Below are 16,918 nucleotides of genomic sequence, written 5' to 3'. Positions count from 1 at the left end.
AACTGCTCCTGCAGCCCTTCCCTGCTCCCACTTGGCCAAACCTGCCCCCTTCAAGACTCAGTGCAAATGCAAACTCCTCCATGAAACACAACTGGTCCTTCCAGCTGGGAGCCCTCAACACCCTGCCCTCAGCTCCTGCGCCTAACACATCTGTGTGTTGACCCTCAGGAGAACCTCTCAGGCTGTGAGCTGCCTCTGGATGGAGGCTGCTTCTGAGGTGTCTTAGTACGCTCCATGAGGTCACACCACTCAGCATGCAAGGAAGGGAGGGAGGGAGGGGGAGGGAGGGAGAGAGACGGAGGGAGGAAGCAGAGAGAGGAAGGGAGAAGGGAAGCAACAGCCTCGAACCGCCACTAGAATTGTACTTTGTGACATTTCCTGGTTGATACGCAAAACAGAGAAAAAGTGGAAATTCATCAAAAGAATTTAATCCAAATTTAAAATTAGAAAAAAATATATCCCTAGTATGTTAACGGGAGGAATTACCTCTTACAACACATGCCAGGAGCAATTTGAGGTCATTAAAAGGCAGACCCAGGCTGGCCCGGCCACAAGCACCTAAGCCCACTCCACATATCTGCCCCTCATCCGTGGGCATGACCGGGAGCCCCAGCCCCTCCTGTCCATCGATCCTGGTGGCAAAGGCAGCGATGCTCTCACCCTGGGCCACCTGCAGTTCTGCCAAGAGCCTGGGGCTGATGGAGGGCCTGTGGCTAGTTGATGCCGGTGGGCCAGCCAAAAGTGCTGGGCCTAAGGCTGTGGGCTGCTCAGAACGGGCCAGAAGGAGCGGTGTCCCAGGAGGGTGTCAACAGGGACATGCCAAGGAAGGGGGGCCCAGGACCTGCTGCTGGAGCCGCCCCACAAGCAGCACCACTACGGAGGGCTGGGATCTGGTGGGTGGGCTTGAGCCATCGTGAATCCATTACCAGACCCACCCCTTCTTTAGAAGTGGGAACAAAGGCTAACCAGGTGGCCCAGAGGCCCCTGACCCCATGGGGCAGCAGAGTCTGGATCTGCGGCAGCAGCGCCTGCAAGGCGGCTATCCATGAGCACCCTCTGCTGGCGAAATTGTGGCAAGGCGGGCAGCAGCGTCACCACCTCTGCCCCTGGTCACTCCAGCACAGCTGCAGGTACAACACTGGGAGGAAGGGGACGCTGAAGGCCCCCTCGTCCCACAGCATCCTGAGGCTTCCAAGGGGGAGGAGAATGCTGCCTGTCACAGCCTCTGCATCCTCTGTAAGGTGCTGCAGGGAGATCTCCTGAGGTTCTGCAAAATGAGGGGCCACTACTCCAGGCAAACCCTCCAAGGCCCCCACAGGCCAACCCAGAGCCTGCGTGAGCGCTGGAAGCTGCCACAGCAGCAGGCTCATCCTGCAGTCACGAATCTCTCACTAAGGCACTGACAGGGAACAGGGCTGCCCAGCTGTGGCCGGGCACCCTGTGTTGACCAGCTCCAAGCCATGACTCAGCTGTTCCCACAGGAGACTGGGCCCCAGGTGGGCCTGGCCAAGGCACCTGCCCCCAAAGCTGGGGACAGCCCCAGGTGGGGGTGATGACAGTCAGTGTGGCCATCTGGGAAAGGCAGGTTTCACGGAGGAACTGGCTCAGGACTCCCATGTCTAGACACAAGCCATCAGCTTTGTTTTTTTGGGTTTTTTTGTGGGGTTTTTTTGAGATAGAGTCTCGTTCTGTCGCCCAGGTTGGAGTGCAGTGGTGAGATCTCGGCTCACTGCAACCTCCACCTCCCAGGTTCAAGTAATTCTCTTGCCTCAGCCTCCCAAGTAGCTGGGACTACAGGTCCACACCACCACGCCTGATTAATTTTTGTATTTTTGGTAGAGACGGGGTTTCACCATGTTGGTCAGGCTGGTCTCGAACTCCTGACCTCAGGTGATCCACCCGCCTTGGCCTCCCAAACTGCTGCGATTATGGCTTTGCATCATCCTTCCACATGAGGGGATGTGGGCGGGGGACTCTGGAGATGACAGCCTTAGCTGGTCCCACCTATGGCAAGGGAGTGGGACCTGCCATGCCCACCCACCGTAGGGACCCCATATGGCAAGGCTGCCAGCAGGACCATGGCAGCCCCACGTGATCCCTGGGAGTGCATGGGGCACTGAGGGCCAGGTGGGGTCTCACCTGAAGCACTCAGGTCCCCGTCCACACCCAGGGCAGATGGCACAGTCACCATCTGAGTCCACTCCCTCACTCTCATTGCAAAGGGCCACCTGGCTCCCGTCCCCACCCCACCGCCACCCTGAGTGCCAGAGTCATTCTTCCGTCTTAAAAGATCAAAGAACGAGTTGCGCACACTCATGTCTCCGGCACAAGGCACCGCTAGGCCCACGAACCCCCATCTCCGCAGCTCATTAAAATGCCGTTTCTCAAGTTTTGAAATCTCTATGGTAACAAATTTTCTCAGCTCAGATAAAACCCGAAAGGATAAATTATGTTTAACATTAATCTCTCTCCTGGCAAAATAACAATGGATTTATTGTCACTGTGAGATGGCCCATTCGAGTCATGACATGAGCTGGGACGCTGATACTTTATAATCTACGCTGTCCGGGCACTCTGGGAGGAGGGAATCGGCTGTCGAACACTTCATGTTTCATTTCTCCAAGAAAAGTCACAGTTGAGGGGTGGGCTCCGGACTCCCTCAGAGCTTTTCATTTTTTTTTTTTTAAGACAGAGTCTCACTCTGTTGCCCAGGCTGGAGTGCAGTGGCGTGATCTCAGCTCACTGCAAGCTCCGCCTCCCGGGTTCACGCCATTCTCCTGCCTCAGCCTCCCGAGTAGCTGGGACTACAGGCACCCGCCACCAAGCCTGGCTAATTTTTTTGTATTTTTAGTAGGGATGGGGTTTCACCGTGTTAGCCAGGATGGTCTCGATCTCCTGACCTCGTGATCCGCCTGCCTTGGCCTCCCAAAGTGCTGGGATTACAGGTGTGAGCCACCCCGCCCGGCCAGAGCTTTTCACTTTTACTTCTGCTGAAGTCCAAAGGCACTAGAGCATTTTAGGTATGCAGTAGGAGTACAATAAATGCATTTGTGTTGAAACTAAATCATACTGAGCCGACAGTTACTAAGCATACCGATTGCTCACTACAGTGGATCACGTGATCAATAAACAGTGACTGATCCCCTAATAAACAGTGATTGGTGCCAGGCGCTGGGGTGACACAGTCAAAGGACAGATATGGTCCCTGACCTCAGAAAGTGATACTCCCACGATACAAACAGAAATCATCAAACCAAACCAGTTAGTTAAATAATTGCAGGCTGGGCGAGGTGGTTCATGCCTGTAATCCCAGCACTTTGGGAGGCCAAGGCAGGAGGATCACTTGAGGTCAGGAGTTCCACACCAGCCTGGCCAACATGGTGAATCCCTGTCTCTGCCAAAAATATAAAAAAAATTAGCCGGGTGTGGTGGCACACACCTGTAATCCCAACTACTCGGGGGGCTGAGGCAGGAGAATCGCTTGAACCTGGGAGGCAGAGGTTGCCGTGAGCCAAGATTACACCACTGCACTCCAGCCTGGGCGACAGAGTGAGACTCTGTCTCAATAATAATAATAATAATAATTGCAAATAATGCAGGGGGCAGTGGGGCAGGGTGGCAGAAAGAGGTCAGAGGATAGGAAATGAATGCGGGGTGTGGCTAACTTTGGACAGGGGGCCAGGAACCTGGGGGGCGGCTGAGGTTTCAGCTGGACCCTGGCAGCCCAGGAGGGGCCGGGCTAAGGGGAGCATGGCAGGCCCAGGGCAGAGGCCCAGGATCCAGGGGCACCGAGGCAGCCCTGCAGAAGGAATTTCACCAGCCATCTTCAGTCCCGACCAGAAGGGCTCTCAGTCCCACATTGGGGTGGGACAGGTGAGGGGCTCCAGAGAGGAAGCTGCCATCTGGCAGCCCCTGCAGGGATAACTTGGTTCTGGAACCTTCTGGCCTGGACCCAAACTTACTGCATTTGTCATGGCCAGAAGTGAAGTTTACATTCCCTGGGCTGGACTAACCCATGGGGTCGAAGATAGAGTGAGGAAGAGACGGTCTCCAGTCTCACCAGGTAGATTCCCAGGTGGGAACCCCGCATCTTATTTCATGGGACCCCCCTCCTCTCAGCCATCAGGGAACCCCTATCCTGCTCTATGGGGGTACAGGGGAGTGGGGAGCATCTGCTCAGTGAGTAGAGGGTCTGCAAAGCCCCCAGGCTGAGGACACTACCCTCCCACCGCTGCCTCCATCTTCCCCTCACGTCAGCCTGCCCCTGCAGCTGGCACCCTGTTCGGCCGTCCCTGCCACCCTCGTCCAGCACTCAGCGCAATCCTGTGGAGGGTCCCAGGGCCCAGCGCAACTGGCTGCTCCCTTGCTCTCTGGCAGGAAGGTACTGGCGGGGGCAGCGAGGGGCAGCAGGACATTCTGCCTAAGGGAGGCTGATTCTGGAGCCCAGGCCCCAGGGTGCAGGAGAGCCACAGGCGAAGACAGGGTGTTGGCCAAGGGGCAGGGGGGTGTGGGCAGAGCCGTGGCCTCCACCCAACCCTGGGTGTCCTGAGTAGGAGGCAAATCTCAGAGGCCTGGTCTGAAGAGGGGTACGGAGGAAAAGGCACCTACAGAGGACAAAATAGAGAGGACCCCACCCACAGCACCAGAGCCGAGGAGGAGGATGCGTGCTGATCCAGGAAGTGGGCTCAGGTGGGGCTGGTCCCCAAGTCAGGTGACCAGGGGGGACACTGCCTCGCCTGGTCATCCTCAGAGGGGACAGCTCAGATCTGGGTCATTACAAACAAGCAGTGCTGGGTCAACAAGGCAGGGAGCACACCATCCCGGGCCCCCAGTGGGGACGTGGATCCCAGAGCTCGGGCCGCCTGGTGAGGAAGCCAGGCCCGCTGCCTTCAGGGTCTCAGGCCACCTCACCGTGAGGCGATGTCTGCACTGCAGACACAGGGGACCGAGGCCTGGGACCCCACTGGGAAGGAAGTCCCAACCCTCCCCGCTTCACTGGCAGCCCCTGTGTCACAGTCCTGGGCTTCAGTCCCTGCAGCCTCATCTCCCTGGTGCCAGGACAACCCAGCACCCATGATCGGTCAGCAACCGTGGCTCAGGGTTGAGCTCCCTGGTCGGACAGATCCCAGAACCCAGACTGCTGGGTCTCAGCAAGACTAGAAAACCCTCTTCGAATGAGGGGGGAAATTCTAGCCTCTGTCCTGCCCCCAAGTGCAGAAAATGGGAACAGGATTCTTCCCCTGTACAGAAGGGAGGGCGGTGCCCCTGAGGAGGGTGGCCTAGGGAACCTCGCTCTCCCAGGCCAGAGGAGGCCGGGCTCCATCTGTTCTATTCATGGCTGTGTCTCCCTGGCACCCAGATCACTCTGCCAGTTCGTGCCCAGTGGGGGATACAGGACCAGGTGGTGCCAGTGTGGGTGGAGGGCAGAGGTCAACGCCTGTGCGGCCTGGGCGGGGACGGGCACTGCACCCAGGTGGAGGCTCCCAGTCACCTGCTCAGCTCAGTCTCCAAACCCCCACCCCCGTGATCCAGGGCCACTTGGCTGCTGATTTGCCGAGGGGTGTGTGAGCTCTTCGGGGAGTCTGGGGAGCCTGCTCAGGGATTTTGTCAGGGGATCGGATGCCGGGGAAACAGCTGCCTGGATGCGGGCTTCCCCTCTCGCCAAGAGATACTTACAGATACTGTTTTTGCTCCACTCAGTTCCCCACAGCCCAGGCCTTGCCGTGGCCACCTGGGCTGCACCCTCTCTTCTACCTCTACAACTGCCAGGCAGGTACGGGTCTCTAGAATCCCGCAGATGCTGCTGCTCCCCGAGACAGGGCATGGTGCAGCTCCAGCTCCCCTAGCGCTTAGGCTGACCCACACGAGTGGCTGGCGCGAGACCGTGTCGGTCCCAAGCAAACAGCCCTTTCCTGTGTGTGGCCCCTACACACTGAGCACTTCTCAAACAGAAAACCTGAAGTGAGCTTCTGAGTCCCTCCACTGAGGGGCCCACAAGCCAAGTGGGGTGGACAGAGTCCGAGCAACAGAGGACAGGTGGCGAGTTTGCTCGGAGGGCCGGGCGGAAGGGGCGAGGCGGGGTATGGCGTCAATTCAAAGGCAAATGATGTCCTATGACACTGGTCTCCAACAGTGTCCCTTGGGACCTCTGCAGGTCCCAACCCAACACTTTGGGACCTGCAGAAGGGACTCCGTAGACAGCCCTGCTTCAATACTTCCCAAGCAACCTCCAGCTTCATCTGCCATGAATGGGGCAATTGGCTTATGTGGACCCACTCTACTCTGTAAGCTAATTCACAGAAGGCTCTGGAAGAGCAAGTGAAGCACTTTGGAAAACTTAAAAAAACATGGACTTAAAAAAAAATCCCGCAGACTATTCAGAAATTTACCCTAGATTATGTGTTGGTTTTTTTGTTTGTTTTGTTTTGTTTGAGACAGTCTCACTCACTCCGTTGCCCAGGCTGGAGTGCAATGGCGCGATCTCGGCTCACTGCTTCACTGTGTCACGGTAACCTCGCTCACCTAGCATCTGGTTAAAAGCCGGAAACAGACATGGAAACCAACTGATCTGTAGATAAGAGCCCTGCTCAGGGATGGGGTCCCTGCTGAGAGAGGCACAGAGAGCCTGCTATGCAGAAACTGCTGGAAGGCCAAGCCATTTCTTTCTTTTCCTTTTTTTTTGTTTTTGACATATTCTCACTCTCACCCAGGCTGGAGTGCAGTGGTGCGATCTCAGCTCACTGCAACCTCCGCCTCCCAGGTTCAAGTGATTCTCCTGCCTCAGCCTCCCGAATAGCTGGGATTACAGGCGCGCACCACCACGTCCAGCTAATTTTTGTATTTTTGGTAGAGATGGAGTTTCACTATGTTGGCCAGGCTGGTCTCAAACTCCTGACCTTAAGTGATCCGCCTGCCTCAGCCTCCCAAAGTGCTGGGATTACAGGGTGAGCCACCGCGCCCAGCTGATCCTAGATTATTTATCCAATAATTAGCCCGTATTCCTGAGATACTGTAATATTTCTGGCCACAAGATAATCCAGCAGAGAAGGACAAAGTCCAGTGAGTGTGTGGTGCCCACACCCCAGAATTGGGTGACACAGAGAAGATTAAACAAAGTGGCTGAAGATCCCCTTGGAAAGCAGGAGCGCTTACTTCCCAGGGTGCCCCTCAGCGTGTCACACACCCAGAGTCCATGTGGTCCTCGGCAATCAGCTCTCTAAGCCCTTCCCTGGACCAGCCCTCCCAGGATCTCTAGGTCACGAATTCTAAACCGGGGGTCATGGGGCAGAAAAGGGTGCAATTTCTGGGCCAAGGTCCAAGTGAGGATTCCATGGCTAATTCCAAAAGAGATGCTCTCCCAGAAGCTTATGAACGCTCCTCCAGAGGCCTGGAGAAACGAAACCGCTGCAGTCCTTTGCGGGGACAGGCTGTCTGAGCCGATGAGTTCCACACGCTTGAGGCTGGGGATCCACAGCCCAGGGCCACTCTGGTACCCAGAGGTGGGCTGTTTAAGAGAATATGGGCTGCCAGGGGTCCCAGGCCACTTCACCTCACCTCCACCAAGCTGCAAGGCAGAGACTCGGTGCCTCGAAGGTGTTTCTTGAAATAACTCGTTCTCAAAAACATTCTTGAAAAGAACTGCCCAGATTCTCTCAGAGACAAACTCTTCAAGGTCACATGGATGTAAAGGAGGGCTGGGCAATGGCTGGGGATGAGTGTACAGAGAGCACGTCTGTGGAAGCAGAAACAGCCCCTCAAAAGAGGGTGTCCTTCAGGGGCCCCGTGGGGACACGATCATCAGAAACACCACGGAGCATTCAAAGACTGCCCTGATCGTGGGTTCAATGCCGGGGTCACCTCCAGGTCCACCAAAAAGATGCTGCGCTGTCTTCTAATAATTACAGAGCATCTCATAAAGTGAACTCACCTGCCCTACATCCCCCGTCCCTTTCTCATCTGAATCAGAAAGAGGAGCTCATTTTAGTCCAGGCCATGAGCAAGTGGCTGGGTCAAGGCGATGAGGTTCTCCATCAACAGCTCGTTAATCACGTCCAGATAAGCCCAGAGGGTTTAATTAACTGTGGCAGGTGCCGCCCCACGACTGGGTGACAGGGACAACTTGGATGCTGTATCTTAGAGCTAATGCTGCTTCCCGCTCCGGGCATGTAATTAAAAGCAGAGACCCGGCATTTAGCAGTTGACTCTCATTAAAAGCCTCCCATGCTCTTGCTAGGAGTCACGACGTTTGATTCATCGTCTCTTAATGTCACTGCCCCTGGTTAAGCTTCTGTCTGGAAGTGCTTCCTTTCCCACGACCCCGAGGTTTCTCTCAACCTCATCCCTCAGGACCCATCCGACTCTTTCTGCCCTTGGAGTCCTGGCGGCCCAGCTACCACCAGAGACACAGCTGATAGAAGGTCAAGGGCACTGGGCCACACCCACCCACCCACATCCAGCAGAGAAGGACAGTGACAAAGCCCAGTCCCGTCCAGAAGGACAAAATCCCACTGTTGCAACTGCCTTTTCACTACAGTGAAACGAAGCCGGGCTCGTGAGAGGGGCTTCCTGGAAAGCTGAGCCCGCTTCTGCCACCACGCAGGCTTGAGCGCTGCTCCTGGCTGGAGGCCAGAGGGCCAACGGGACCCACCGCCCCAAACAGAAGGGTGCGGCACTTACCAGGGTACAGCTGCTTGGTGGGTGCGCTGAGCTGCGCGTCTTTGGTGACTCTGTAAGCGACATCCGGGCCTTTGGAAGATCGCCGCGTGGCGCAAAAGCCTGTTGTCTTTGTTATTCCATCAGGCAAGTTGTGAAAATCTAGAACCTTCAGGAGATCTGCTGGCTGAGCTGAAATGACAGAGGAGGAGCAGAGTTAGCCACGGAGAGGAAAGGAGCACCTGGGAACACCCGGAAGCTGGGATGACAGGAAGCACCCCCACCCCCACCACTGTGAATCCTGGGCACTCAGAAGAGCCCCAGGACCAGCTTAGAGCCGCGTGCTGGGCGAGGCAGGGCACCACGCTGCGGAGGAGGGTCCCATCCTTGTCCCCACCAGCAGCCACATACCGGGGGCAGACCCAGGCTAGCCCAGAGGGTCCCATCCCTGTCCCCACCAGCGGCCACACACCAGGGGCAGACCCGGGCTAGCCCAGCTCTGACGACGCCCTCCTTCCTCACTGCGCTCTCGTGGCTCCTGAGGCTGGCAGGGGCCACACACCCAGCCTCCCAGACACCTCTTCTCATTGGCCACGTAAGGAGAGCAGCCCAGGCAGATGCTGGAAGGCCACAGAAGGCCCACTGCGGAGCTGACCGCCTTATGGTGTGCTGTGCAATGACACAGGAGAACCGGTGGGTCACAACATCTGCCCTGCAGCCCTGAGAACCTTCACCCCACCTGAGGCCCCTCCAGAGGTCACGGGGATGTCACTGGCCTAGTTTATCCCCCCGTCATTATCCACCTGGACTGTCTGTCGCCTTCCCATGACCGTTTACAGCGGGTGTGCAGTTTCCATTGCCCTGGAAGACCCCTGCCCACATCGCCAGACCATGCAGAGCCAAGAACAAGGGAGGGGCAGCCCCCGCATCCCTTCCAGAAGGTTCCTGACCCTCTATCCAGGGGCTCTCAGGGAAGGGCAAGGGGATAAGCTGACCTCTGGCCACTGAAGCCGTGATCATTACCAGGGAGCTCAATGGTCACCCTCCAACACAAAAGACGGCCCCATCTGCCAGAGCCTCCTTCCCCCACACCACGAGGACCCCAGACCTGCATCCACCACAAGGCGCGAATCCAGGAACCTGCCCTGAACAAGGTCAGTTTTATGGGAAAAGCACTGCTCCTGTGCCCACGAGCAAGAGGCTCCCTGGGAGTCCCGGCAGAGAAAATAAACTCGAAGTTGGCATCACAGCGACAGAATGGTGTGTGTTGGGGCGGCCTGGGAGTTGGAGGAACCCAGCAGCCGGCAACTGCCCTGCCCAGTAGATGTGGACGGGGTTGGCCGTGCCCCCTCTGCTGGCCAATCAGAGCATGACACCGCCCTGTCCCAGACGGTCAGCTCAGGGATGGACGTGAGACCAGCCAGGATAAGGAAGCTCCGTCCTGGGGCTTTTTTCCTTTGAGAAAGAGGAATCCTCCCTGCTCTGCTGGCTCCAAACACAGAACAGGAACCTGGAGCTGCTGGCAACTGTCTCCTGAGCAGGTGGAGAGTGCTTGCCTGAGGATGCAGAGAGACAGACTGGCCACACTGTTTGAGTAGCTGGATCAAGCTGTGCCTGACAGAAACCGGTGTATCCCTCTTTATGCTAATGCCAATTGGAGTTAGATCCCAACATCTGCTACTAAACAGTGCCCATCTCTGGGTGCAGTGGTGTGGGCCTCCTCAGCTATCAGTTCCCCGCTCTCTGGCCTGGCCCTCCTCCCCAGGGAGGAATGGTGATCAGCCTGCGACGGGCTCAAGAGGAAAGTCCCACCTTTTTCCCAAGGGCAGAAGGTTTGGAGGTGAGATGGGATGGCCACGCAGGTTTCCTCTCTGCTGGTTTTCAAGGACTCCTGCAGCCAGGGGCACCTGCAGCCTCGGCACTGCCACGGGAGGAGGTGGCTGCCAGAGACAATGGCGCAGTGTCACTGCTTGTCCCAGCAGGCCCTCAGCAAGAGGAGCACCCAGACGGAGGACTCTGTCTCCCCAGCACTCCCTGTCCCTCCAGGGGACTCAGCGCGGGCACTGTGCTTGGTGCGCAGGCCACAAGGAGGTACAGACAGGAACCTGTGCCACCCCCACCCCCGCCATGACCAGCTGACAGTGCAGGGAAGACAGCAGCCTGGGCAGGGCTCTGAAGGAGACCAGGGTGGAGGGAAATCGAAGCCGCATTTCTCATTCATGAAGCCCCTCCCCATCCACAGTTCTCTGGAAGGCTCCACAGTACCCAGGTCCCAGGGTTCTGAAGTCCCTGCCTCTGACGGTGTCATTTCTACAGCTTGGCTTTGCTGCAGTCCTCTGCCAATTAAATCAAGAAGCCAGAAACATGGAGAAGCTGAGGATTTCCCACTGCGGCGTGGGAACAGTGACAAAGGGGAGGGGCGGCACAGGGACCCAGAACACCCCACGTCCAGGCCTCTCATGGCCTCTCTGTTTTCCTGGGTGGCTTTCGGCTGCCAAGCAGGGCACAGCCCACCCAGCTCTGTCACCCCCTCGGGCATGTATGGCACCTCCCACCTGGCCCCAGCAAAGAAGGCTTTGGTGGGCTTTTGCCTTTGACTTGAGAAGAAACGCTGAGTGCCAGTGCCTGGTGAGGCTGCACCGCGCAGCCCTGGGCCTGGATGCAGCCCGTGGAAAGAGAGGATGCGCCAGCTGCCGGTCCACCTGCTGAAGATGACACAGTGCCGAGCCCTGGGTCATCCCTAAGACTCAATTCCAGCACTGGCAGCGGCCGGGGCAGGGGAGCAAGGATCCCGGCCGGGGCTTCCTGGACTCACACCATAACAAGCCCGTGATGCTCTTCCCAGACTCAGGCTCGCAAGCCTGTTTTCTCCATTGCTGAAGGCAAGAGCTGTTTTCCAGCAGGCTTGGTGGACATGTTCGCAGATCTCTGTTGCAACAAGTTTAAGAGGCCACCAGACCTTTCCCAGGCCTAGTGCCACCCCTCCTGCTGGCCAGGGGCTTCCTGTGCCAGAGCAGAGGAAAACATTAAGTACTTTTTGAAAAAGAAAAGGTTGGGGAGAGCCCAGGAGGAGCCTGGCGCACAGCCTTTCAGGAGCTTTTCTTCCAGCCTCCATCAGGATGAAAACTCCACTTGGACACAGCACAAGCTTTGGGGACAGGTGGACATGGGTTTGAAGCCAGTGGCACCCCCCACCAGAGGGTGGATCCCAGTGGGTCAAGGCCAGTGAGAGAAGCTGCAGAATCAACAGTGGCCACCGCACACTGGCCCGTGCACTTCCCGGCTCAACAAACAAGAGCCCCTCTCTTTTGCCCTTTTCTCCTAGACAGCCAGGCAGGGGCCCATCACCAGCAGTTCCCAGAGGACCCACCGAGCAGCCCAGGTGCTCAGTGAAGACGAGATGGCATCACGCGTGTGGTCTCCACACCCAGCCCGGTGCCTACTCTTTAGTGAAGGACCATGCAGCTGTGCCCAGAGGTTCCTGAGACCGACCATCTGATGCACAGAAGGCCAGCTCCGAAAGCTTCATGAAACAAAAACTTTGTTGATTCCATGGAACCCTCGCCATGACCGGATCACCTATGGGGTCAGTCCATCACATGGTGGATGGATGGATGGATGGATGGATGAATGGATGGATGGATGATGGATGGATGGATGGATGGATGGATGGATGGATGGATGGATGAAGTCCCAGAGAATAGCAGGTGTCCTGCTGTGCCTTGGCCACCCAAGCTCCAGCCCTGTCTCCTCTAGGCACCATCCTGCTCTGCAGTCTGGGGAGCTAAAAACTACACTTCCCAGGTGCCTTTGCATAAGGATGCAGGGTGCAAATTAGAATCTGCCAATCAGAGAGACTCATGGAGCTGGACAGTGAGAGGGAGGTGGCAGCCTCCTCCGCCCTGGCACAGCCAGCAGGGCCATATCCCCAGACACAGCATATGGAGGTGATCCTCATGTCCAGACCCCCACGCATGCCACGGCCTGGGACCAGCTTCAGGGCACCAGGCGGCATTGGCAGCAGCAACTTCCTGCAGTCTGGGTGGCAGCCTCGCTATGGTGGTGCAACCCCAAATGGGATAGTGGAGTGGGGCCTCCTGACCCCACCACGCCGGGTCTCCCGGAGACTGTATCCACCTGACTCCCTGCATTCAATCCCTTTCCCCATCGTGGCTTGCTCCCATCAGCTGTGTGCACTGAAACCAGGAGCCTCCCTGGAACCACCTATGGGACATGGGCCCAGCACAAGGCCACGGGCATCAGAATCTTTAAACTACAAGAAGTGTTTACCCCCAGCACCTAGGGGTCAGGCATCCTGCACAGCCTCGCTTGCCCAGGGAATACCTCTTGTCCATCCCCGAGTTGATCAGAGTTAGAGAAGTTGGCCCCTGCATCCCCTGCACTGTTACAAGTAGAAGTATTTGTCACTGGCATCCCAGAGGCCCATTTTCATGAGGATATAACCAGGCATCAGGTCCCCAGACCTATAAAGGAATGGACGCCAGCAAGGTCAGTTTTAAGGAAGAAGGGAGGTGACTGAAAAGAATTTGATGGCCAGGCGCGGTGGCTCAGGACTGGAATCCCAGCACTTTGGGAGGCCGAGGCAGGCAGATGGCTTGAGCTCGGGAGTTGGAGATCAACCTGGGCAACATGGTAAAACCCCGTCTCTACATAAATACAAAAATTAGCTGGGCTTGGTGGCATGCACCTGTGATCCCAGCTACTGAGGGGCTGAGGTGTGAGGCTCGTTTGACCCTGGGTGGTGGAGGTTGCAGTAAGCCAGGATCGTGTCACTGCACTCCAGCTTGGGTGACAGAGCATAACCTGGTCTCGAAAAAAAGGAAGAGAAAGAAGAAGAAAAAGGAGAAGGAGAAGGAGGAAGGAAGAAGGAGAATAATTTGGAAATGAAAGTTTGAGTTCTGCGTGGGTGTCATGCACCACAAAAGGCAGCACAAAGACCCTGATAAGAAATACAAGCAAGACTGCAGCACTGGCACATAGGAGGAGCTCAACACAGACATGCAGGATGGACGGATGAATGGATGGATAGTGGATAAATGAATGGTGGATAGATGGATGAATGGATGGATGGATGAATGGATGGATGGGTGGGTGGATGGATGGCTAATGGATGGATGGATGAGTGGATGGATGGATGGATGGTGGATGGATGGGTGGATGGATGAATGGATGGATGGATGGTGGCTGGATGGGTGGGTGGATGGATGGATGATGGACGATGGATGGATGATGATGGATGGATGGTGGATGGATGGATGGATGGATGAATGGATGGATAGATGGATGATGGACAATGGATGGATGATGGTGGATGGATGGTGGATGGATGGTGGATGGATGGATGGATGGATGAATGGATGGATAGATGGATGATGGACAATGGATGGATGATGGTGGATGGATGGTGGATGGATGGTGGATGGATGAATGGATGCATGGATGGATGGTGGATGGATGGATGGTGGATGGATGGATGATGGATGGATGGATGGATGGAGGATGGATGGATGGATGAATAGATGGATGGATGGATGCTGGATGGATGGATGGTGGATGGATGGATGGATGGATGGTGATGGATGGATGGATGGATGGACGGATGGATGGATGGATGAATGGATGGATGGATGGATGATGGACAATGGATGGATGGATGGATGGATGGATGAATTAATGGATGGATGGTGGATGGATGGATGAATGGATGGGTGAATGGATGGTGGATGGACGGATGGATGGATGGATGGACAGATGGATGGATGAATGGATGGATGGTGGATGGATGGATGGTGGATGGATGGATGGATGGATGACTTAATGGATGGATGGTGGATGGATGGATGAATGGATGGATGGGTGAATGGATGGTGGATGGATGGATGGATGGACAGATGGAAGGATGAATGAATGGATGGATGGTGGATGGATGGATGAATGGGAGGATGATGGATGGATGGATGGATGGATGAATGGATGGATGGTGGATGGATGGATGGTGGGTGGATGGATGGATGGATGGATGGATGGTGGATGGATGGTGGATGGATGAATGGATGGATGGATGGATGGATCAATTAATGGATGGATGGTGGATGGATGGATGAATTAATGGATGGATGGTGGATGGATGGATGAATGGATGGTGGATGGATGGATGAATGGATGGATGGGTGAATGGATAGATGGTGGATGGATGGATGAGTGGATGGATCAATCAGTGAACAGATGAGCAAGTGAATGGTGAAAATCAGGAGGTATAGGGCAATTTTACAATTGCTGCACTAAGTTGTCAGCCTTTCCACCAGCCAATAACAATGCCTCCACTAACCATGCTAGGATAACTTTCTCTGTCCCCAACAGGCATTTCCACGATCCCCATGGAGGTCAGCTTCTCTGCTCCTCCAGAGCTGACCCAGAATAACCGCATTCCATGTCACTCTAGGGCTTGCCACCCTCTCATCACACAGCTGCAGGACATGAGATGCTGAAACTTCATGCAAGGACTACAGTGCTCAGCGCACCCAGGTGCTCCTGGCCTGGACCAGCAGTGGACTAATGTGGCCCAGCACAAAGAACCAGAGATGAGGGCTTGAAACTGAGCTGGTGAGGCATGAGGATGGAGCCCTGGGCTCCCCTTAAGGCCTGAGGCTCACAGACCTGCTGAGAAGGATGAATGCTGGCAGCCAGGTGGCTGAAGACATGGCAGGGCAGCATCACAGCACCCAGCCCAGCAACGCTCTGTTTCCCCCCGAGACCTGGGGGGCTGCTGGACATCTGTACAGGGCTCCGGCACCTACAGGAGCTGATGGAATGAGATGGCTGCTTTTAGCGGGAACTTAAATCAGTTCCTGGTCGTCCACTGGTGCCCGAGCACTCCTCCGAGGGCTCAGAAGCAAGGAAGAGGCAACTTCGGCCCGGTCACAGCCTGCCCTGCTGGAGAGCATCTCTCAGGCTCAGCAGCCCCTCCCCTTGGAAGTGGGGCCCCTCATGAAAGAACGCTTCTCCACCAACAACAGAAACGCTGCAGAAGTCCGCTGCTTTCGGGAAGGAGAGTGGAGGTCTGGGGCCACCCTCTTGAGTGACGCAGATGTGTCCTCAGAATGGAATCCGGAACCTGAGCCTGGACGCTCCATAGCACCACCATCCTGCCAGCCTCGAGGAAGGGAGACGCTTGGGGGCACCCTGCCAAGTGCTGACCTCAGAGCCTCATCTCCCCAGTGGGGAACGGGTCTTCAGAACAAAAGACAATCAGCCAGAAAAGCCCACCGGGTGCCGGCGCCCCAGGAAAGGGGGTGCAATGAGCTGCTCCCAGGGCACAAGCACCCACTCTCAGGTGGGGTGGGCCCTGATGGAGAGGGAGTATCAAAGGGCGGCAGGAACAGAGCCCTTGCATGCAGGGCAGGACCGGGGCCTGCACAGGAGCCCACACACACTGGGCACTCAGCCGTGTTTGCTGAACGACTGAGCAACCCACAGCTTCTACACACAACAGCCTGGGAGAGGGTGTAAGAGGATGCAGAGAGACAGACTGGCCACACAGTTTGAGTAGCTGGATCAAGCTGTGCCTGAACATCTACAGAAACTGGTGTATCCACCTTTATGCTAACGCCAAGTAGAGTTAGATCCCAACATCTGCTACTAAACAGTGCCCATCTCTGGGTGCAGTGGTGTGGGCCTCCTCAGCTATCAGTTCCCCGCTCCCTGGCCTGGCCCTCCTCCCCAGGGAGGAATGGTGATCAGCCCGCGACGGGCTCAAGAGGAAAGTCCCACTTTTTTCCCAAGGGCAGAAGGTTTGGAGGTGAGACGGGATGGCCACACAGGTTTCCTCTCTGCCGGTGTTCGAGGACTCCTGCAGCCAGGGGACCTGTAGCCTCAGCACTGCCACGGGAGGAGGTGACCCCTGACCACCTTACAGCCGTTCTACTTTTCTAAATAAAAGCCCACTTCAGCCTGGCGTGCCACTCTGCTGTCACCGTCTCATGGCGGCCCTCACAGAGCAAGAGCAAGCTGTGAACAGAGGGGAGGGTGCCTCCCCTGCCCAGGAAGGAAGCCGGGTCTGAGGCCGTGGGATCGCACGCTCCTACGAGGCCTGCTGGGGTCTGCATTGGATCTTTTTCTCTAATTCCTTTTTTTCCCCTAAACAAGTTCAATATCTTTAAGCACTGGCTATGGGTCGGCTGCCTTTGAAGCCCAGGCTGTCTGTCCCCACCGGATGATGTGCTGGCCGCAGTCCCCGCTCCCAAAG

At 56.3% G+C, this 16,918-nt stretch overlaps 1 protein-coding gene across 3 annotated transcripts in view, besides 3 other annotated features; it reads right to left on the bottom strand.

Moving 5' to 3' along the window:
• COL5A1 (collagen type V alpha 1 chain) overlaps nucleotides 1-16,918 on the bottom strand; it is a 203,041-nt gene that overhangs the window by 145,088 nt on the left and 41,035 nt on the right. For all 3 annotated transcript variants that reach the window (NM_000093.5, XM_017014266.3, NM_001278074.1), the window contains exon 2: nucleotides 8,677-8,844. In NM_000093.5, the coding sequence (NP_000084.3) occupies nucleotides 8,677-8,844 (168 nt within the window). The remainder of the gene's footprint in view (nucleotides 1-8,676; nucleotides 8,845-16,918) is intronic.
• Nucleotides 241-1,063: an enhancer, noted in NCBI's record as "H3K4me1 hESC enhancer chr9:137590539-137591361 (GRCh37/hg19 assembly coordinates)". NCBI's record gives its function as "activates a minimal SCP1, AML or CMV promoter by ChIP-STARR-seq in naive and primed H9 embryonic stem cells {active_cell/tissue: H9 hESC(naive and primed)}" and the evidence as "EXISTENCE:reporter gene assay evidence [ECO:0000049][PMID:30033119]".
• Nucleotides 1,064-1,888: an enhancer, noted in NCBI's record as "H3K4me1 hESC enhancer chr9:137589714-137590538 (GRCh37/hg19 assembly coordinates)". NCBI's record gives its function as "activates a minimal SCP1, AML or CMV promoter by ChIP-STARR-seq in naive and primed H9 embryonic stem cells {active_cell/tissue: H9 hESC(naive and primed)}" and the evidence as "EXISTENCE:reporter gene assay evidence [ECO:0000049][PMID:30033119]".
• Nucleotides 10,176-10,966: an enhancer, noted in NCBI's record as "H3K4me1 hESC enhancer chr9:137580636-137581426 (GRCh37/hg19 assembly coordinates)". NCBI's record gives its function as "activates a minimal SCP1, AML or CMV promoter by ChIP-STARR-seq in primed H9 embryonic stem cells {active_cell/tissue: H9 hESC(primed)}" and the evidence as "EXISTENCE:reporter gene assay evidence [ECO:0000049][PMID:30033119]".

Source organism: Homo sapiens, chromosome 9 (genome assembly GCF_000001405.40).
Source record: "Homo sapiens chromosome 9, GRCh38.p14 Primary Assembly".
In the NCBI taxonomy this organism is placed as follows: domain Eukaryota; kingdom Metazoa; phylum Chordata; class Mammalia; order Primates; family Hominidae; genus Homo; species Homo sapiens.
The sequence above is the reverse complement of the archived record's forward strand: the minus strand, read 5'-3'. Positions and strand labels throughout refer to the sequence as shown.